The sequence below is a fragment of the Homo sapiens genome, chromosome 1, assembly GCF_000001405.40.
Source record: "Homo sapiens chromosome 1, GRCh38.p14 Primary Assembly".
NCBI classification, from domain to species: Eukaryota; Metazoa; Chordata; class Mammalia; order Primates; family Hominidae; genus Homo; species Homo sapiens.
The window spans coordinates 174,430,783-174,453,808 of record NC_000001.11 but is presented as its reverse complement, the minus strand read 5'-3'; the positions used below and the strand labels follow the sequence as shown (position 1 = coordinate 174,453,808).

General features: G+C 35.8%; 2 protein-coding genes across 13 annotated transcripts in view; both read right to left on the bottom strand.

Annotated features, from left to right (window-relative positions):
• The window catches only part of RABGAP1L (RAB GTPase activating protein 1 like), an 835,789-nt gene that overhangs the window by 541,500 nt on the left and 271,263 nt on the right, over positions 1-23,026 (bottom strand). The window lies entirely within an intron of this gene.
• Positions 4,264-5,845, bottom strand: GPR52 (G protein-coupled receptor 52). The gene has a single exon (NM_005684.5). It carries the CDS (start codon positions 5,695-5,697, stop codon positions 4,612-4,614), a length of 1,086 nt encoding a protein of 361 aa, NP_005675.3. The 5' UTR covers positions 5,698-5,845; the 3' UTR covers positions 4,264-4,611.

Sequence of the window (23,026 nt, the reverse complement as noted above, 5' to 3'; positions counted from 1 at the left end):
ACAGAGCAAGACTAGCACTGAATCAAACTTCCATTTATGAGAAATCATAAAATAGGAACTGTTTTCTCTACTCTAGCAATTTTGTTTTCCTCAATATCTATGTATTTGGTTACAGGATTACCACTTTCTACATATCACTCAATCTAAAATAAAGTTAATTTCTGCTCAAGGAAAAGAGCATCTTTTGGAACCTACACGTCAGAGTACAGCACTGACTGAGTAACACATACATGCTCCTATGCACCAAAATGGCCCTACCTACACATACATGATGCTATCTATGCTCAGAATGTTATACCAGCAGATTTCTCACATCTAAATCTTTTTTATCTACTTATTATGTAATTGTATCTTTTTCACATCTAATGATTACCTTCTAGCGTGGGGAGAAAAAGAGGAAAGGTCCTTTAAGGCAACTTCATTTATCTTTAAATTCACATAATTTATGTTATCTATGGAGCAAATCAGCTTATTAATCATTGTTTCTCCCAAGAAATAGATATATGACAAAATACTTCAAATCCCATTTTAATAAATGAGGAAAATTAAAGTGCAAAGACAAATGACAAGACATCCCTGGACAATCCTTCCTATTATTACTTCCCTAACGAGAATAAAATGTTTAAGCATATTTAGTGTAATAAAGTAAGAGGTAGGTTAACCTCAGAATCATGCCTGTCTCATCACAACATCCGCTTGCTGGATATCTTTAATCTCAAACGATGTCTTCATGAATAACTATTCCTGGGAAACGAGCTTTCAGAAATATACTTGAAATATCTGAGTTTAACCCCAAAATTTGAATTTAAATAGATTTGCAAAAAGAAATGCTATCTTAGAAAACCCTAATGCTCAATGGTTTATTCCTGTTTGAATTGGGATTAGTGACCTTTAAGTTGTGATGTTAATAAATATGGCACCCACAAAGATAACAAAACAGCAGCTACCGGCTGGGTGCAGTGGCTCACACCTGTAATCCCAGCACTTCAGGAGGCCAAGGCAGGCAGATCACGAGGTCAGGAGATCAAGACCATCCTGACTAACGCCGCGAAACCCCGGCTCTACTAAAAATACAAAAAATTAGCTGGGCGTGGTGGCAGCTGCCTGTAGTCCCAGCTACTTGGGAGGCTGAGGCAGGAGAATGACATGAACCCAGGATGTGGAGCTTGCAGTGAGCCGAGATAGTGCCACTGCACTCCAGCCTGGGCAACAGAGCAAGACTCCACTTCAAAACAAACAAACAAACAAAAAACAAAACAAAAACAGCAGCTACCATATTCTGAACACTTTTTATGTGCCAGGAGCTATGCTGGGCACACAGACTACAAAATTTCATTTAGTCCTCAAATTCAGCTAAACAGAGAGCTACAAGTCTCTGACTTAAGATTTTTTAATCAATGCCAAAACTAAGGTTTTGGAGCATTTGGTATCTTACCCAAGGCCAAGCAGTTTATGAGGGCCTGGATCTCAGCCCAAGTTTCATATACTAATAGTGTCAATTATGAAGCTTTCCAACACTCTATAACTCTAGAAACAACTATGCAAATAATAGAACCCTTAGGAAAAAGAATACAGAATGCATTGTTTTTTGGCTGTCTTTTATAGCCAAACTGGATAATTACCACAAAATACAATATAATGATGAGAAAAATGGTTATGCTTCCTATTCTTAAAACACATTACCTAAAAAGAGAGGTTTCAAAATAAGGATTAGCTTATTATACAAACACATTAAAATATGATAAAAGGAAGTTAAGTGGTTTGTCCTAGAGTTGTATATAAAATACTATAGTAAATAAATAAACTCAGAATTTGCCTCATTCAGCCTCTTTCAGCCTATGATAAAGCCTTTCTTTTCACTCTTCCTCTTCAAAACAATTTTTTTCCAAAAAGAAATTGATAGAGATTTCAAAAAGGTATTCAAGGGAAATAACAAAAGTAAACCAAAGTAATATCAACAATTTCAGTTTGATTATAGACTAAACTGGTAAGTTTGAGCTTATCAGATTGCTGTTTTAATAAAAGAAACTTTTAAGATCAAAGAAAAAGATATCACAAGACAAGAAAAGAACTCAAGCAAAAGACTTACGATGAGAAAAAAATAAATAAAACTCAGAGAAATATTGTAGGGAAAAGGTACAGACAGAGGTACAAAAATTTAAAGGCTTTTGAAATGAAAGCAGCGCAGCCTACCGGTGAAGCAGGCAGGCTTTGGCCCAGGCCTACTGGATGGGCGGGAACCTCTGCCATTGACTAGTTAACTGACGAATAATCATTTTTCTTTCGTTTCCTTATCTCTGGAGTGGAAATAATAACTATTATCTCAAAAGGCTGTAGTGAGGATTTAAGGTATAACACATGTAAAAGTGAACAGTGAGCCTGGCATATAATTGTTATTAATTACTATGGGGAAAAGCCAGAAGGGGAAAATGCAGTAAGCATGGCCTCAGGCTTTCTGTACACAGAATCCACTGGGTCCTTTCTAACTATATTTATACCTTAAAGAAATAAAAATACGATTCCCAAATAATATGTATAATTTAGAAGTCTTATATGTGATATCTGAAATGTTAGCAGTACACTTCCTTGAACTTTGTTTTCCTTGAACTGGTCTGAATTTAAAAGGCACATTTAAACCAAGATGCCACTGGCAAACAGGGGACAAGAATAAATATAAACCCAAGCTACAGAAGTATAAAACAATCAGATTTTGATTCCCAAAAAAGTAAACTCTTGTCCTAAGTGTTTTATTAAACTGAGGCAAAGTCTCATTTTGATATATAGAATATTATTTTATTCTTTATTTTAAATCTTTCTTACATGTTTAAAAATATACAGGGGTTCAGAACAACCTCAATAAAATGACAACATTTCTACTAAAAGACCTTTGAAGCCAAACCACCAGGGTGCAAACATGGTTGGCTTCTAATTTGAAGAGTCATAGGCACATTTTATTAAATGCATTTCATAAAACAAAGAAATCAAAAATGCTGAGAAGAAAAATACTCAGTAGTTTGATATAAATTTTAAAATATCTTTCAGGCAAGAAACTTATGGTAAAAAAGTAATACTTAGATGTTTTACTGCTCATACTTGCTTCGCTAATTCCCCAAATGCTACTTTGCTACATCTAAACCCCTGACAATTTATCACACAACCCCATGTAGCAGGCAAAAAAATAAGTTAATCTCTGCATTTGAAAACAGATCATTACAAAAGAAAATACTGTCAGCTCTTACCTGTATTTGATAATTAAGTATATTATATTCTCAGCGGCACTAAAAATGCAGCTTTGTCTAATATAAATATCTAAATAACAATTACACAAAAGTATTTTTCTCTTAAAATAGGTTTTTGTATATACTTTTTCCAATGTTGACAACTTAAACAACATTGATCTATATATTTTGCTAAGAAAACGTTAGGCACAGATAACATAATTTACATTTTCTTTGCTGTGAAAAACATAGTATGTGCAAACGCATATCACACAAATGACTGACTAGTGGACACAACAGTAAGCTATCGTAGACCTAACACAAAAAAGATTCATGTTTTATTTTATTTATTTATTTTTAAAAAGGGCATTCTAAGTACCCTTAAGAGTAATACCTCACTGCTGGGTGAGTATCCTGCATCTGCATTACAATTACTAGTGGGTTTTCTTAAAGAAAAACAAAGCTTTACTATAGCAAAAAAAAGACATCACTTTTAAGCACATGAACTAATTTAAAAGGAACCAGATAAAAATGTTTCCAAAAGCCATTAAAAATATTTAATAAGCTACCAGATTGCTTTGCTGGAAGAAATACATTATTTAACATCATGGATGCTCTATACAGTAGATTCTTTCAATAGCTAAGACACTTCTAAAGTAAGGTACCAATGGATGCAGATCAAGAAAAAGAGAGAAAAAAAACAGGAGACTGTTAGGAAACCAGGGAAAAGCAAATGTCATTTTACCCAGAAGAAACAAAAATACTGTTTCTATTTGTTTATAGCAGAAAAACTGTGCTGCAGAGAACATTATAAAAACACAAGCAAAGGGGTTGTTTGGCAAATAATAAAATGCAATGCTTACTGTGCATCCTCCATGAAGAGATCACTTATGGATTATAGATTAGTGTGATTAAAGGTACACTTTGATGCAAAAGATTATACTTTACCACATATATAATATGTAGCACTTTTCTACAAAGGGCAGTTTATGTAAGTAATAACTTCCACAAAGAGTGAGAGAAACATAGACAAAATGAGAAAGACAGAGGCAGGGTACAGTCAGACAGAAAGACAGAAATGCTGAGCCAAGGGGCTTGCTCATGTCCTGCAGAAGATTTGAGATATTCTTTTTCATCTCAGTGCTTAATTTTTCCTATTACTGCACACTAATACTCACATGCTATAATTATTTCATGAGCTAACCCTCTATACATCCTTCCCTTTAGTTTCTTCCATGAAAAAGAAAAAAAAAGAGAGAAACCTTTAGTCTCATACTTCATTTTACAGTCAACTATTCAAGTAAATATTTCTCTGATGGCAAATTTCCAGATGAATCTAGAATATGATCCAAAACCACTGTCAGATTACATTTGATTTACTATGTAGCTCTCTTCAAATGGAGCAAGAATTAGCCCGTTTCCTAGGTTTGGGTTCTTGTGCTTCCTGATCCTTCACACACATACAGGATGTGCACATTGTCTCAGACAGTCTTCGGAGGCCTAGCCGGAAAACGCTGTTGGAGAGGCTGTATATTACACAGTTACAAAAACTATTACTTATTGCAAGCCAGGTTGTTAAGAAGGACAGAGTTGGATTGTCCAAGACCCGGGAGCTTTCTAGAAGAAAGTAAATTATATAGGGGAGCCACAGCATATAAAATACACTGGTTATCCTAAACAAAACCATGGCGTAGCGACGGTCAGGGCTGTGTCCAGTCTCTCTGGAAGAATCTACCTCATGACTAGGGAATCGGGCTCTTCGGTCATTTATCTCTTTGGTGTGCTGACGGCAAATTTTGAAAATGTGGAAGTAAGTGAAGCAGACAACAAAGGCAGCAGGAGCATAAAGTAAACAAACAATAAAGCCAGTAAAATAGGCACTGGTGAGCCAAGACGTGGCACACCATTCAAAAATGTCACCATGGTAACCAGGTTTCCCCCAGCCAAAAAAGGAAGGCAAGAAAATTAGGCAGGAGTAGATCCAGATCAAAATAATGCAAATTCTCAAGCGACAAGGGGTGACCAGTTGATTGTAGGAAAGAGGCTTGGTTATTGCAAGATAACGATCCACACTGATGCAAGCAAGACATGCCATAGAAACACTTTTTAGAACTGAGATGATATATCCAAAAACCTGGCAAGTCAATGACTCGTGGACACCTGTGGAGTAGTGGAGAAGTGACAGAGTAGGAACCAAGCAGCTAACTCCAACGAAAAGATCAGCATATGCCATCGTCTGAATGAAATAGCTGGTAGTATAATGATGTAACAGTGGAGCACAATGAAAGACAAAGATAACTGTTAGATTCCCAGCAATGATCAGAAATGTCAGCAACACAATAACCACTGTCTCGAAGATGCAGACATCCACCACACTGTAGTGGCCAAATCCAAGTGGGCAGGAGTGACGCTCGGACACATTCACAATGCCACTGCTCATGTTCAGGATCCTCCATTCAGTCCACCTGGATTCATTCATGGCTTGGAAATTTAAAGACACCTGCAGACTTGGCTACAGCAAGCAGATGCCCTGCCCAGCATCTGTTAAACACCGCACATGAGTGTTTCAGAACCTGCTTCAGTAGACAGTGTCAGTGCTTCTGTCACAGCTGAGAGTCCCAGAGAGTGCTCAAGTCTCTTCACCAGCCTCAGTTCAGCAGTGACACACCTCAGCTTTCGGGCGGGGGGGTGGGGGGGGGGCGGTAAGGGGTGGAGAGAAGGGGATAAGCTAGAAAGGAGGTGAAAAGAGGTCACTAATTAGTTTCCTCTGGTGCCCTCAAAGAACTTTTTGCAGACATAAGGCACTTCTAGAGAAAATAGACTTCTTATTATCTTGCACTATGAAAAATTAAATCTGTAAAAAGAAAAAAAATGAATTGCCAAAGGAAGAAAAGCTTCTGTGGGCTGTTCTCCTAAGAGAGGCAGTTTCTTAGGGAGCAACTGGAAAGAATGAGAAAAGAAAAACTCTGAAACTGTCTCAGGCTTCCTGCTTTATCTATGATGAAAAATGCATTCATATTTTAGATTTTAAATAATTTAAGATCTCAAATTTGGTTGAAAAGCTAAGAAAAAGTTCATTGTGGCAAAGAGTGTCTTTGGGCTTAGTTCAGGGATTGATGTTGGGGGGTCAAATTTATAACCTATTTCTCATTTTTCTAAAATCTAAGAAAAACAACTCTATCAAAGTTAATTTGAAAAGATTCATCTCTACATGGGCAGAATAGAGGTAACAAACAGACTCCAGATTGCCCTATAACTCTCATGAGAAAAAAGTATTTTCCAATAGAAAAGAGAATATACAATGAATTAATGAATTAACACCTGGCAAAATGTAATAAACTTCTGAAGTTTTAATTCTGCATGCATTTTTAAAGCATTTAGATGAAAGCAGTTTTAATCCATTACAGTTACTGGTGGTACTAACAGCAACGTAACTTATACCTCTTCCTTTTCAAAATGAATTATTTTTGCTATTAATTTGGCATCTATAACTTAAAATAACATTTGTTATTTCATATACCACCTTCCTTATAATGGAGCATGATAATAAAATATGTAGCTCACAGTTATTTCTCACCTTTGCAACTGTATACCCATATCTCACATATATATGTAAATATAAAGTTAGACAATAAAACTTTCCAATATACTCCGAGCTTATTTGACCAGAAATGCTGCCATTATTTATTACTTAGGTATTTCTAATAGGCTTCATGTTCTATGTTGCTATACCTTTTCTATTTTCAGTAGATGATTTAACACATTAAATCATTACTTCAACTATATCTTCTGAAAGTGGAAAATTACCTTGTTTATTACATTTGCAGTTATGTAGCAGCCATATGTTAAAAAATGCCTCTTCTATTTTTCTGTACTCTATTTTGAGCAAGTGCTCAATTAACACAGGGGCCATTAGGTAGGTTGCAAGATAGTCTTATTTTAAAATACCTCTAAAGTATCAAGATGAACTTTAAATCCTAGAGTTTGAAACATTGCAAGGCTGCCAGGATAGAATCCATCCAAAATGCTTCCAAGGTCATTTTGATATCAGGTTAACATTTGCCAAAGTATTTTTTAAAAGTGAAGTCATTTCAGAGAGTCTCCTGTCATTCTTTGTTATCCTATCTTTTGAAGAAATAACATGCATTAGAAATAACATTTCCTCCAGGAACAATGCAGCAGCTTAACAGAAAGCATTCTTCTGAAAGTTATTTTCTGGTGCACCACCAAGTCATTCAGGCAAGTCCTTCTTCTTTTATAATAGCCATAGGATATTTCTTCTTCTACATTCCTAGTTTCACTTATCACAAAACAGTTCTCTTGTTACAGGAATAAGGTAATGCTTCTCACCTACATTCACTCTTATCAGCTGCTAGGCTGGGCTGCTTGATTCAGAAGTCCGATTTACTGTGATGCAGCTACAAGGATGCTGTCAGTATATTCTTCACAATCTCTCAGCATCAATGACTCCACCTGAGCCCAAGCCCTACTCCTCCTCCTCATCCTGGGCTGATGCAGAAAAACTCACCATCAGAAAGGTGACTCGGCCCTCCTGCCCCAATCAACAGCACAGCCAATGGCTACTGCAGCTGAAACTGTCACTAGGTAACAGTTGCCAGGCACATGCAGGCTTATAGACTTACTCGGCAAGCTCCGATCAAGACTGACAAAAGAAGACAATGGAACTGACCGATCTTTATAATATATTAAGGCATTTATGAACTTCTCAAGGTATTCTCCTTATAGCATTTGTAAAGATTATTTCGTATGGACAAGACAGAAAAAATAAACTGCCATACTCCTGTAAACCCTGTAAAGAAACTACCACAAGGTACTATGACACTAAAAAGTCAGCAGTAATCTAATGCTCATTGGCAGAAAAAACTTATTAATTATTAAAAATTTGCCAAGTCTTCATGAACTAAAGTGATATGACTACTAACTTCTCTCTAAAATATATAGTTACATTTTAATTAACAGAACTTAGAAATCATTTACTAATCTCTCCAATCCCCATCACCCCCACAAAAAATTGCTGAGTTTGATGTATTTAACTGTACAAACAAAGCAATAGAACTAACACTACTGTACCAAAATCTATTCAGAGCAATACTGAAGGTCAAATATGATCTCAAAAGAGCATAGAAATTAGAATAAATAAAAACATTGCTTATCCACTTTTTATCCTAATATGAAAAAAAAGGTCAAATGGTCAAAGAAATTTGTTCTAAGTGCTTGAGCTACACATACCTAAATTAGAACAATGCAAATTAATTTAATCAAATATTTGATGGACATTAAAACATTTCTGATTATTTTGACTTACTACAGACAAACATTCACTATTTTAAACTTCTTAGGGGATCAGCATTTTTCTTAAAAGTGACTTAGAACTAATTTACAAATTATGTCAGAATTAAAATACACCAGGAAAATTAAGATAAAAATGGAAGATAACTAACATTTGTTGAGTATTTTCTATATGCCAAGCATTGTGCTGTGTGCATTATATACTTTTCCTTTATAAAAATCTTAAAACTCTATGAAGTAGGTATCATCATTATCATTTTCCAAATGAAGAAAGCAGATAGTAGAGATAGTAAGTATAACTTGCCTATAATCACAGACTTGTGAAAATGGGACCGAAATAGGTTATTATTATTCTTAAAAGTCCTAAAAAACATAAAAAGATCAACAAAACAAAAACTTGATTTTTTGAAAAGATAAACAAAATCAACAAACCCTTAGCTAGACTAAGCAAAAAAGAAAGAAGACTCAAATAAATAAAATCAAAGATGAAAAGACATTACAATTGACTCCACAGAAATACAAAGGATCATTGGAGACTTGTGAAAAATATATATGCCAACAAACTGGAAAACCTAGAAAAAATGGCTAAATTCCTGGACACATACAATCTACCAAGATTGAACCATGAAGAAATAGAAAATCTGAACAGACTAATAATGAGTAAAGAGATTGAAGCAATAATAAAAAGTCTCCCATCAAAGACATGCCCAGAACTTGATGGCTTCACTGCTGAATTCTACCAAACACTTAAAGAAGAACTAATACCAACTCCACTCAAACTATTCTTAAAAAGTTAAGAGGAGAGAATACTTCCAAACTCATTCTGTGAGGCCAGCACTATCTTGATACCAAAAGCAGACATGGACACATACAACAAAAAAAATTATAGGAGGCCAATATCCCTGAGAAACATAGATGCAAAAATCCTTAACAAAATACTAGCAAACCAAACAACACATTAAAAAGATATGCCATGTTCATGGATTGGAAGAATTAATATTGTTAAAAGGACAATATCACCCAAAGCAACATACAGATTTAATGTAATCCCTTTCAAAATACCAATGACATTCAAATAAATAGAAAAAAAAAACCTAAAATTTGTATGGAACTACAAAAGACCCTGAATAGCTAAGGCAATCCTAAGAAAAAAGAACAAAGCTAGAGGCATCACTCTACCTGACTCCAAATACACTACAAAGTTATAGTAACCAAAACAGCATGATATTGGCATAAAAACACATAGACCAATGGAATAGAACAGAGAAACCAGAAATAAATCTACACATTTATAGTCAACCTAAATTCAGGAAAGGCACCAAGAAAATACACTGTTGAAAAGACAGTGTCTTCCATCAATGCTGCTGGAAAAACTGGATATCCATATGCAGAAAAATAAAACTAGACTCCTATCTCTCACCATATACAAAAATCAAGTCAAAGTTGATTAAAAACTTAAAGGTAAGACCTGAAACTATGCAGCTAATACAAGAAAACACTGGGAAATGCTTCAGGACATTGGTTTTGGCAAAGACTACTTGAGTAAGACCTCAAAAGCACAGGCAACAAAACAAAAATAGACAAACAGGATGATATTAAGCTAAAAAGCTTCTGCACAGCAAAGAAAATAATCAACACGGTGAACAGGCAACCTAAAAAATGGGAAAATATTTGCAAACTATCCATCTGACAAGTGATTAATAATCAGAAAAAAACTATTAAAAAGTCAGCAAAAGATCTGAATAGACATTTCTCACAGGAGGACATAGAAATTGCCAAGAGTTATATGAAAAATTACTCATTTTGCCTCTGGCAAATGCAAATCAAAACTATAAAACTATAATGAGATATAATCTCACCTAGTTAATATGGCTATTACCAAAAAGACAAAAAGTAACAAACGCTGGTGAGGATGCAGAGAAAACAGAACACTCATACACTATTGGGGGAATGTAAAACTAAAATAGCCATTATGGAAAACAGTATGGAAGTTCCTCAAAAATTTAAAAATAGAACTATCATATGATCCAGCAATCCCACTGCTGGGTATATATCCAAAAGAAAGGAAATCAGCAATATCAAACAGATAAATGCACTACCATGTTATTACAACACTATTCACAATAACCAAGATACGGAATCAACCTAAGTGTCCATCAAGACATGAACAGGTGGGGAAAAAAAGCAATATGTATATACAATAAAATATTATTCAACTATAAAAAAGAATGAAATTCTTACATTTGCAGCAACATGATTGGAACTGGAGGACATTATGTTCAGTGAAATAAACCAGGCACAGAAAGACAAATGTTGCATACTCTCACTCATATGTGGGAGATAAAAAAGTTGATCTTATTGAAGTAGTGAGTAAAATGGCAGTTGCCAGAGGCTGGGAAGGGTAGGGAAAAAGGAATGAAAAGAAGTTGGATAATGGTTACAAAAATGCAGTCAAATAGAAGGAATACGTTCTAGTGGTTGTAGTGGGGAGATTATAGTTAACAATTTATTGTATATTACAAAATAACTGGAAGAGAAGTTAGAATGTTACCAATACAATAAGTCATAAACATTTGAGATGACAGATGTCCCAATTTCCCTGATTTGATCATTACACATTGTATGCATGTATCAAAATATCACATGTACCCCATATATAACTATTATGTATTATTAATTGTAAAAATGATTTCTACTCCCTGATTCTAAAATAAAAGTTGGAAAAAAATTATTCCTAAAGAGTAGAAGGTCCTATTCTTTCCTCCATGTTGAACTTCCTTTCAGAGAAAACCATGTTACTGCCAAAATCTTTGGAGGTTTAGGTGAATATAGAACAGAAAGTGTATTTCTCATTACCAGAAATGAGACGTTTGTAAGATACATTAGAATAACGATTTTCAAGTGAATACTATGTTTAAGGATGAAAAGGCAATATTTAAATTTTATACAAAAGGCTAGAAAGTCCTATTTTATAGGGAAATATTTTGACTTTCAGAGATAATAGTATTAAAATCAAACAAAATCAGATATTCTCTAGTACAAGAAAAATAAATATTTAAAATAAAATTATATTTGATAAATATTCGTGAATGTAGATAGGTCCCACATTCCTTGTAAAGAAAAGTTAAATGCTAAGCTTTACTACCAAACCATTGAAAAAGTATAGCCATTACACATATTTGAAGCAGTTTTGAATCATAATATTTATAAAATTAGGAAAATGGCAAAAAATATCATTCAGAAAATTTCACATACTAAATCCCTTTAGTTTGTTTCCAAAAATAATCACTGGTAGCTATTTGAATCTACAAATACTATAAATAATTGATAATTGCACATGCTTCTAAAGGGAGATGAAAACATGAGATGAAGAGTTTCAGAAGCAGTGCCTTTGACCCACTAAGCCTCCCTCTTTCTTTCCACCAACTTTAAAAAAAAAAAAAAAGCTTCAGCAGCTCAAAGTAGTTTTTTCTTTTTAGCAACTGACTGTACTAGCTACTTCATTTTTTTGTTCGTTTTTTATTTGTTTGTTTGTTTGTTTGTTTTGAGACAGAGTTTCGATCTTGTTGACCAGGCAGGAGTGCAATAGCATGATCTCGGCTCACTGCAACCTTCACCTCCCAGGTTCAAGCAATTCTCCTGCTTCAGCCTCCCAAGTGGCTGGGATTACAGGCATGCACCACCACGCCTGACTAATTTTGTATTTTTAGTAGAGACAGGGTTTCACCATGTTGGTCAGGCTGGTCTCAAACTCCTGACTTCAAGTAATCCACCCCCCTCAGCCTCCCAAAGTGCTGGGATTACAGACGTGAGACACCACACCTGGCTGACTGTGCTAGCTTCCTTACTTTTCTTTCTTACCATACTTTTTTCCGATAGGATTATAATATGAACACATTTATAATGTGAAGCCTTACTGACAAAAGAGTACTAATATATATTTACATAGTTTCCTATATAAAGCATTCTTTGTTTTTAAATTAGGCATAATTCGCTTCATTTTCGGGGTCATTAGGTATCTTATTATTGCCATTTTTTTTTACAATCATCAGCTGCCTCCTTCTGCTTTCAACTGATGAATGCTAATCAGAAAATATCTAGGAGGAATCATTATATGGAATTACTTGAAACAGCCCAAACTGTATAACTTTATTACATGATACATCACAGGCATTTAATTTTTTATTTATATATTGGATATGTTTTATTCTTTATATATATATATAATACTTTTATTCTTTTATATTTATCAATATTTCATTATTAAAACATCCAGTCAATTCAAACTACTCCTCAATAGAACTTAAACAGCAAAGCCAGAAAGGACCATTAGCCATCAATGGCAAATAGGATAAACAGTAGGCAATGCCTATCAAAGAGAACTATACAAGCAATATAGTATCAAAGAAGGTAAACAAATAGAGACCAGTCAGGGTAGCTCACACCTGTAATCCCAGGACTTTGGAAGGCCCAGGCGGGCAGATCAACTTGAGGTCAGGAGTTCAAGACCAGCCTGGCCAATATGGTGAAGCCCTGCCTCTACTAAAAATACAAAAAATTAGCCAGGCATGGTGGTGCACGCCTGTAATCCCAGCTACTCAGGAGGCTGAGGCATGAGAATTGCTTACAGTGAGCAGAGATCACGCCACCGTGCACTCCAGCCTGAGCAACAGAGTGAGACTGTCTCAAAAAATAAAAATAAAAAAATAAACAAATAGAGACTAAAGTAAACCTGTTGTCCTTCAATAAATTTAAAAATGTACCAAAAGGCTTACGCATTCAGAATTTACCTATTTCCTCAACTACTTCTCCTACCTGGTAACTTTTCTCCATCTTCACTATCATTACCCTAGCAAACCAGCATCATCTTGTGCTTAGACACCTGTAGTGGCTTCCAATGTGGCCTTGAGTTGTTTGTAGTCTCTCTTCAATCCATTATTCACAAAAGAGACAAAATATTTTTTTCCACAATGCAAACCAGATCGCGTTGCTTCTGTTTTAAAATACTTCACTGGTTTTACATTGCCCTTATGATAAGATCTTAATAGGTGCTACAAAAACTGGTCTCTATGCATCCATCCAGTCTCACTTCTCTTCTATGTTGTTTAGGATTAGCTAAACTACCTCTACCTCCCCACCAACTCATATCCCTCACCCACCAGTCACAAATATATTTGCTATGTTCCCTACGGCCTCAGGATATTTATAACTGCTTACTAGGCCATCACACTTCTTTTTATTTAATTCAGATGCAATCTTTAGGTCTCAGTTTTAACACCACTTCCTCTGGGAAATCTTCCTTGAGTTCTCACAGGGAACCAGACCAGATTCTACACATATTATAGTTTATAATTATTTACTTCATTCACCTTTGTCTTCTTGACTAGATTACAAGTCCCATGAGGAGAGCAACATCTGCTTTCTTTGCCATTGCATTTCAAGTGCCTACACTGCGGTGCTAGACACAGAATAGGTGTCGAACAAATAAGTGTTTAACATAATTTTAATATAAAGCACATAAAATAGCTAAAAGAGTCTATCAAAGGACTGAAAAACACTAACACCCAGTCTATGTGAAGCTCAGAATACACAAACTTCACAAGAAAAAGCTAGAAAATGCATTTCCCAATTGTGGGAGGGGGAATTAACCTCCTAATATATTCAAATGAAGGGCAGTATTAGTCATCTATAAATCTCCCTAAACTAAACTGAGTATTTCACTAGTGCTTTGAAAAGTCCTATCTAGCAATTGACAATGATTATTTAATTACTTATCATCTAAAAAATGCCAAATGCTGCAAAATACAGTACCAATGCACTTTAAATGTACTATCAACTGTAGTATTAAAGCAACTTGGTCTAAGTGCCAAGAATCAAATAAACCCTCTGAAGTGAAACATATCACAATCTACTGATTTAGTGACCGCTCAAGAGCAGAAAACAATTTCATGTTGTCAATTTCATTTCATTATGAGACAAATTATTAGCAACTAAGAATATTTAAGAAAAGTTAATTTAGTGGCACTACAAAAGAAAACTTCCTCAACCTGATAAAGACACTTTATGGGAAAACCTACATCTAGCATAATATTTAATGGTGAAATATTTAATGGTGAAATATTAAATGCTTTCTTCCCGAGACTGGGAAAAAAGGAAGGATATCTGCTCTTACACATCTATACACATTGTACTAGAGGTCCCAGCCAGTTTAACAGGCAAGAAAAAAAAAAGCCATACAAGAAAAGGAAGATATAATTGTGCACATAAGAAATACTAAAATGTCTTCCCAAGAGCCCACTAGAATTAATGAATAAATTTTGTCGGAACACAGGTCAATATATAAAAATCATTGCATTTCGATATACTTGTAAGAAACAGTAGGAAACAAAATTTAAAAACAATAAATCATTTAAAGTAGCCTTGAAAAACAGAAAGTAGGTGAAAATGTATAAAACCTCTACTCTGAAAACTATAAAATGTCATTTGAGAAAAATTAAAAAGTCATATATATATATATATATATATATATATATATACACACACACACTTTTTTTGGGTTTTTTTTGACAGAGTCTTGCTGTGTCTCCCAGGCTGGAGTGCAGTGGCGTGATCTCGGCTCACTGCAAACTCCGCCTCCTGGGTTCAAGTGATTCTCCTGCCTCAGCCTCCCAAGTAGCTGGGATTACAGGTGCCCACCACCATGCCTGGCTAATTTTTATATTTTTAGTACAGATGGGGTTTCACTATGTTGACCAGGCTGGCCTCAAACTCCTGAACTCAAGTGATCACCTGCCTCAGCCTCCCAAAGTGCTGGGATTACAGACGTGAGCCACTGCGCCCAGCCTACTAGCTTTATGCAATGGGAGAATCAATATTGTTAAGAACGTCAATTTTTCTCAAATTGATCTTCAGATTCATTGCTATTGCAATTCAAATCCAAGCAGCTTTTTGTAGAACTGACAAGCTACTAATTCTAAAATCTATATGTAAACACAAAGGATCTAAGAGAGCTAAAACGATCTTGGGAAAGAGAAAAAACAAAAAACAAAGTTGAAAGACTGGCACAACCTGATTTCAAGACATACTATAAAGCCTTAAGAGTTAAGATCTTGCTCGTTAGTTGATGCAGTTTCTTCCTAGCCTCGATGGTCTTTACAATTTGGCATGTTTTTGCAGTGGCTGGTACCGGTTGTTCCTTTCCATGTTTAGTGCTTCCTTCAGGAGCTCTTTTAGGGCAGGTCTGGTGGTGACAAAATCTCTCAGCATTTGCTTGTCTGTAAAGGAGTTTATTTCTCCTTCACTTATGAAGCTTAGTTTGGCTGGATATGAAATTCTGGGTTGAAAATTCTTTTCTTTAAGAATGTTGAATATTGGCCCCCACTCTCTTCTGGCTTGTAGGGTTTCTGCCGAGAGATCAGCTGTTAGTCTGATGGGCTTCCCTTTGTGGGTAACCCGACCTTTCTCTCTGGCTGCCCTTAACATTTTTTCCTTCATTTCCACTGTGGTAAATCTGACAATTATGTGTCTTGGAGTTGCTCTTCTCGAGGAGTATCTTTGTGGTTTTCTCTGTATTTCCTGAATTTGAATGTTGGTCTGCCTTGCTAGATTGGGGAAGTTCTCCTGGATAATATCCTGCAGAGTGTTTTCCAACTTGGTTCCATTCTCCCCGTCACTTTCAGGTACACCAATTACACGTAGGTTTGGTCTTCTCACATAGTCCCATATTTCTTGGAGGCTTTGTTCATTTCTTTTTATTCTTTTTTCTCTAAACTTCTCTTCACGCTTCATTTTATTCATTTCGTCTTCCATCGCTGATACCCTTTCTTCCAGTTGATCGAATCGGTTACTGAGGCTCGTGCATTCGTCACATAGCTCTCGTGCCATGGTTTTCAGCTCCATCAGGTCCTTTAAGGACTTCCCTGCATTGGTTATTCTAGTTATCCATTCATCTAATTTTTTTTCAAAGTTTTTAACTTCTTTGCCATTGGTTCGAACTTCCTCCTTTAGCTCGGAGTAGTTTGATCTTCTGAAGCCTTCCTCTCTCAACTCATCAAAGTCATTCTCTGTCCAGTTTTGTTCCGTTGCTGGTGAGGAGCTGCGTTCCTTTGGAGGAGGAGAGGCACTCTGATTTTTAGAGTTTCCGGTTTTTCTGCTCTGTTTTCTCCCCATCTTTGTGGTTTTATCTACCTTTGGTCTTTGATGATGGTGACGTACAGATGGGTTTTTGGTGTGGATGTCCTTTCTGTTTGTTAGTTTTCCTTCTAACAGTCAGGACCCTCAGCTGCAGGTCTGTTGGAGTTTCCTGGAGGTCCACTCCAGACCCTGTTTGCCTGGGTATCAGCAGCGGTGGCTGCAGAACAGCAGATATTGTTGAACCGCAAATGCTGCTGCCTGATCGTTCCTCTGGAAGTTTTGTCTCAGAGGAGTACCTGGCTGTGTGAGGTTTCAGTCTGCCCCTACTGGGGGGTTGCCTCCCAATTAGGCTACTCAGGGGTCAGGGACCCACTTGAGGAGGCAGTCTGCCCATTCTGAGATCTCAAGCATAGGCATGGACAAGGACTTCATGTCTAAAACACCAAAAGCAATGGCAACAAAAGCCAAAATTGACAAACGGGATCTAATTAAACTAAAGAGCTTCTGCACAGCAAAAGAAACTACCATCAGAGTGAACAGGCAACCTACAAAATGGGAGAAAATTTTTGCAGCCTACTCATCTGACAAAGGGCTAATATCTAGAATCTACAATGAACTCAAACAAATTTACAAGAAAAAAACAAACAACCCCATCAAAAAGTGGGTGAAGGATATGAACAGACACTTCTCAAAAGAAGACATTTATGCAGCCAAAAAACACATGAAAAAATGCTCATCATGACTGGCCATCAGAGAAATGCAAATCAAAACCACAATGAGATACCATCTCACACCAGTTAGAATGGCGATCATTAAAAAGTCAGGAAACAACAGGTGCTGGAGAGGATGTGGAGAAACAGGACACTTTTACACTGTTGGTGGGACTATAAACTAGTTCAACCATTGTGGAAGTCAGTGTGGCAATTCCTCAGGGATGTAGAACTAGAAATACCATTTGACCCAGCCATCCCATTACTGGGTATATACCCAAAGGATTATAAATCATGCTGCTATAAAGACACATGCACATGTATGGTTATTGTGGCACTATTCAAAATAGCAAAGACTTGGAACCAACCCAAATGTCCAACAATGATAGACTAGATTAAGAAAATGTGGCACATATACACCATGGAATACTATGCAGCCATAAAAAATGATGAGTTCATGTCCTTTGTAGGGACACGGATGAAGCTGGAAACCATCATTCTCAGAAAACTGTAGCAAGGACAAAAAATCAAACACTGCATGTTTTCACTCATAGGTGGGAATCGAACAATGAGAACACATGGACACAGGAAGGGGAACATCACACACCGGGGACGGTTGTGGTGTCGGGGGAGAGGGGAGGGATAGCATTAGGAGATGTACCTAATGCTAAATGACGAGTTAATGGGTGCAGCACACCAACATGGCACATGTATACATATGTAACAAACCTGCACGTTGTGTACATGTACCCTAAAACTTAAAGTATAATAATAATAAAAAAAAGAGTTAAGATCTTGCATAAAGAATATACAAAATGATCAGTGAGAAGAAGAAAGTCTAAAAATAAACCCACACTTATATGGTCAACTGAATTTCAATTAAAAATTCTAAAACAAATCAAGGAAAAAGGAAAATTTTCTCAGTAAATGGTATTAGAAAAATTTGAATAATCTTCTGGGGAAAAATTAACTTAGACCATGTCCTCACAATATATAGAAAAATTTAAATGATATGGATCATAGATCTAAACAAAAAAAAATTGAAACTGCAAATATATAGCTTCTAAAGGAAAACATTCTAGAAGAAGAATGTCTTCATAACTTAAGGATAGACAAAGATGAACAGGTGCAGTGGCTCACACTTATAATCCCAGCACTTTGGGAGGCCTAACGAGGAGGATCACTTGAGCCCAGGAGTTCAAGACAAGCCTGGGCAACATAGCAAGACCTTGTTCGTACCAAAAACAAAATTTAGCTGGGTGTGGTGGTGCACACCTGTAGTCTCAGCTACCTGCAAGCTGAGGCAGGAGGACTGCTTCAGTCCAGAGTTCTAAGCTACAGTGAGCTATGGTCATGCCAACACACTCCAGCCTAGGTGACAGAGCAAGACTGTGTCTCTTAAAAAATAGACAAAGACTTATTAGGATACTGGAAGCAATAACTATAAAAAAGTTTAATAAAATATACTTAAAATAAATGTTCTGCTTAGCAAAAGACATCATTAAGAAAATCAGCAAGCCAAAGACAGTATTAGCAAAACATATGTCTAACAAAGGAGTTGCATCCAAAATATATAACTGACTCCTACAATTTGTTAATATGAATACAAATAATCCAATTAAAATGGTGAAAAAACTGGAAGACACTTCACAAAAGAAGATATACAAATAACCATTAAGAAAATGAAAAAATGCTCAGCACCCACAGTCATCAGGAAAAGGCAAAATAGATGAGATACCAATATACACCCACAATGAGATACCAATATATACCCACTAGAATGGCTAAAACTAAAAGACTGACAGTACAATGTTGGTAGGGATATAGAACAACTGAAACCATACACTGCTGGTAGTAGTGTAAAATGGCTCAACTTTGAAAACTTTGACAAACAGTTTGGAATTTTCTTATGACATTAAAAGAAAATCTACCCTATCTCTCCCATCAATTCCTTCCAATAGAAAGGAAAACATATTGTCCACAAAAGACTTGCATAAAAATCTTCATAGCAGTATGTATAAAAATGAAATAGCCAAAACCAGAAACAGCCCACGCACATCCATCAACAGGGGAATGAATAAACAAACCGTGATATTTCCATACAATGAAATATAGCAATGAAAAGGAACAACACTAAAGACACACATAACATGGATGAATCTTAAAACTAAAGGAAAGAAGCCATACATTGAAGAATACACATTGCATGATTTTATATGAAGTTCTGAAATGGGAAAAACTAATTTTTGCTGAAAGAAATCAGAACCCTAGTTGCCCCAGGCAGGGTGTGTGTGTGTGTGTGTGTGTGTGTGTGTGTGTGTGTGTGTGTATGTGTACACGCATGCGCTCATGTGCACACATGTACCAGTCAAGACTGGCAAGAGGTATGAGGGAACTTTCAGGGAAGAGGGAAACATTCTGTATCTTGATACATGTGGTTACACACATGCATGCATGTCAAAGCTCATTAAAATGTATCATTTAAGACCTGTGTAAGTTATAGCTGAAGAGACTGAAAAGGCTGAGATGGCATTTGCATGTAATCAAGTGTTCGAGTTCTGTGTAAAGCCACGAAATGAGAGCCCTAAATTATTTGAGTGAATTTTAAGGCATTGCCAGGAAATTATATAGTATAATGATATTTAAAAAGAAACATACCAGAATCCTTTGTAGCAATGTGCCATAAAGAATGAGAGCTACTAAAATGTCTAAAAGAACAGATACTGGTGGATGGAGTAAGTATATCCAGCCTGCACATACTTTCACACTCAATCAGTATATCTGACTCATGGCTCAGTGTTTGTACTCAAGACACAACAGCCCAGCTGCAAGTGAGACACTGAGAAAAGACATATCAAATGCCAGTTATACAACACTTTGAGACTGCCCTAGCTAGCTGAGATCTAAGACAATGGGCCAAGTAAGCAAAAACTTTGAGAGGTTCCACTATGTTTCTCGATCATAAAGAAAAATGGAGACAAAAATACTAATTTACGTGTATATTTACCACCTTCTTAGTGGGAGAAAGTCTCAAACACAAAATATGTGTTTAAAACAAAATTAATAGGTCAAAACAGTATGCAGAGCAATAAAATAAAACCATACACAGTATGACCTTTCTTCTCATATTTTCCTCTAGGTATGTTATTACCTTTAATAAACATTTATTAAGTTTGAAGACAAGGAGATACTATGACTTAGAGGAAAGAATGTAGGCTTTATAGTCAGACAGATTTGGGTTGGCATGATGGCTGCACCACTCATTAACTATGAGGCCTTGGGTATATCTTTCTCTCCATGTATCTCAGCTTCTATCTTTAAAATGGAGATAATAATACTTACCTTTAAAAGTTGGTTATGAAAACTAAAACTTAAAGCATGTAAAGCATACAGTGGCTATTCATTCAAAGCTCACTGATAGTAAGATAAGCATATTATTTTACCATCAGTAAGATTTCTATCTAATCGTTTTTCCTTCAGAAACTGCAACCACAGGTAACATGCTGAGTTTTGGAAATTAATAATAACACTTTCTCTTTTCTATTGAATTGCCAACTCCCTCACCATTCCTTTTTTAAAGTACATTAAAGAAAAGAAATATCAGCCAGGCACAGTGGCTCACGCCTGTAATACTAGCACTTTCAGAGGCCGAGGCAGGTGGATCACGAGGTCAAGAGATCAAGACCATCCTGGCCAACATGGTGAAACCCTGTCCCTACTGAAAATACAAAAATTAGCTGGGCATGGAGGCGCACGCTTGTAGTCCCAGCTACTCAGGAGGCTGAGGCAGGAGAATTGCCTGAACCCAGGAGGCAGAGGTTGCAGTCAGCTGAGATCATGCCATTGCACTCCAGCCTGGTGACAGTGAGAGACTCCTTCTCAAAAAGAAAAAAAGAAAGAAAAGAAAAGAAATATCATTGTCTGAACCTGACCATGTTTTTTAGGAAAATCCTGTGATTAGCAATAAAGTAACATAAAAATTACCAAGGCTTAGTCTACGAAAACCTAAGGTACGTGGATCTTACATTTCCCAGATAAATGGGGGGCTTTTTAAAATTGATTTTTAATATTATGTTTTATGCTAGCAGACTGGACAAAGAAATGTGGTACACAGACAACATGCGATACTACACAGCCATAAAAAATTAAATCATATCTTTTGCAGGAGAATGGATGCGACCAGAGGCTATTATCCTAAGCAAATTAATGCAAGAATAGAAAACCAAAAACCCATGTTCTCACTTGTAAGTAGGAAGTAAATATTGGGTACTCATGGACATAAAGATAGCAACAATAGATGCTGGGAACTAATAGAGTTAGGAAGGAGAGAGGAAAGTAAGGCTTAAAAAACTATGGGTACTATGCTCACTACCTGGGTGAAGGGATCAACCATACCCCAAACCTCAGCATCATGCAATATTCTGATGTGACAAACCTGCATGTGTATCCCTGAATCTTAAATAAAAGTTGAAACTATTTCTTTAAAAAAGAAAAAGAAAAATGATCCCAAGTTTTTAAAAAAAAATTGTTTTACTCTATTACATTAGGCATCTAAATTCTTAAAAGATGTATTATCTATTCCTCTGTCTTCTTAAACCAAGAATTCTGACATAATTTAATATTTGGTAGCCTAGGATCATCACTATTAACATCAATTCGAATACTGTCTTCTGATACAATCATACCTTTGTAGCTGCTGGATTTGTTTGATTTCCATAAGAATTAGGTACCTTAAAAATAATACATAACTCTATATTTTATGAATCTATGTGCATAGCAAACACAGCATAGCCCCTCCTTCCTGTTCTAATTTGCTGTCCTTATTTTCTAGAGGCTTCTGTATCAGAAACTAAGCTTATAAGAATTTTTTCTCAAAGAGCAAATAAAGGTAACTGCTCTATGAGTAAAGTGCCATAGCTCAGGCTTAAGCTGTCAGTTATTTCCAGATAAGTGAGGAGGTACCTGTTTTAGTATGGCAACAGGTATGAAAATACACTTAAAAATAACACAGGAGAAAAGGAAATTTCAACGTTTCTTACATTTCCCATGGCTTACAACTATCCATTAATCACGATCTTTTCCTGCTTTATAAACTAACAAATCTGGAAATTAAATTTTTTATATCATTTCATTTTTATATCAATGAAATCCCATAAAAATTAGAATTATCTCATAGAAAGGGTTCAAAACAGCTGTATCCCTTCAACTTTTGTACAGTAAAAACAGAGAGAGAAAAGTTGAACCTTAAGATATTTCCTACAAAAGTCTGCTAAAATTGTATGAAAACAGAAGAGCACAGACCCATTTTAAATAATGGGTTCACATTATAGGTAAGAAGTGTTGGTTCACATTCATTTTTAATTAAAAGAAAATTTTCTCTTATAAAAGAAAATTGCTATTTTTTAGGATATCTTATTGTTATGGCAACTGAAGTGCTAAAAATAATAAAGAAATATCAAAGTTGTTATAGCAACTAGAATTTTAAAAAGCCATGAAGTATAGAATGATCAAACCTTGGCTTGAAATGCAACATCTATGACTCAGTTTTCAAAAGAAAACTTGAAATACTCATGCTCTTGTCTTTATGAGATGTCTCTGCAGTCCAAGTTAAAAAACAAAAAACAAAATCTTAATCATGAGTTTAATTATTTTTTA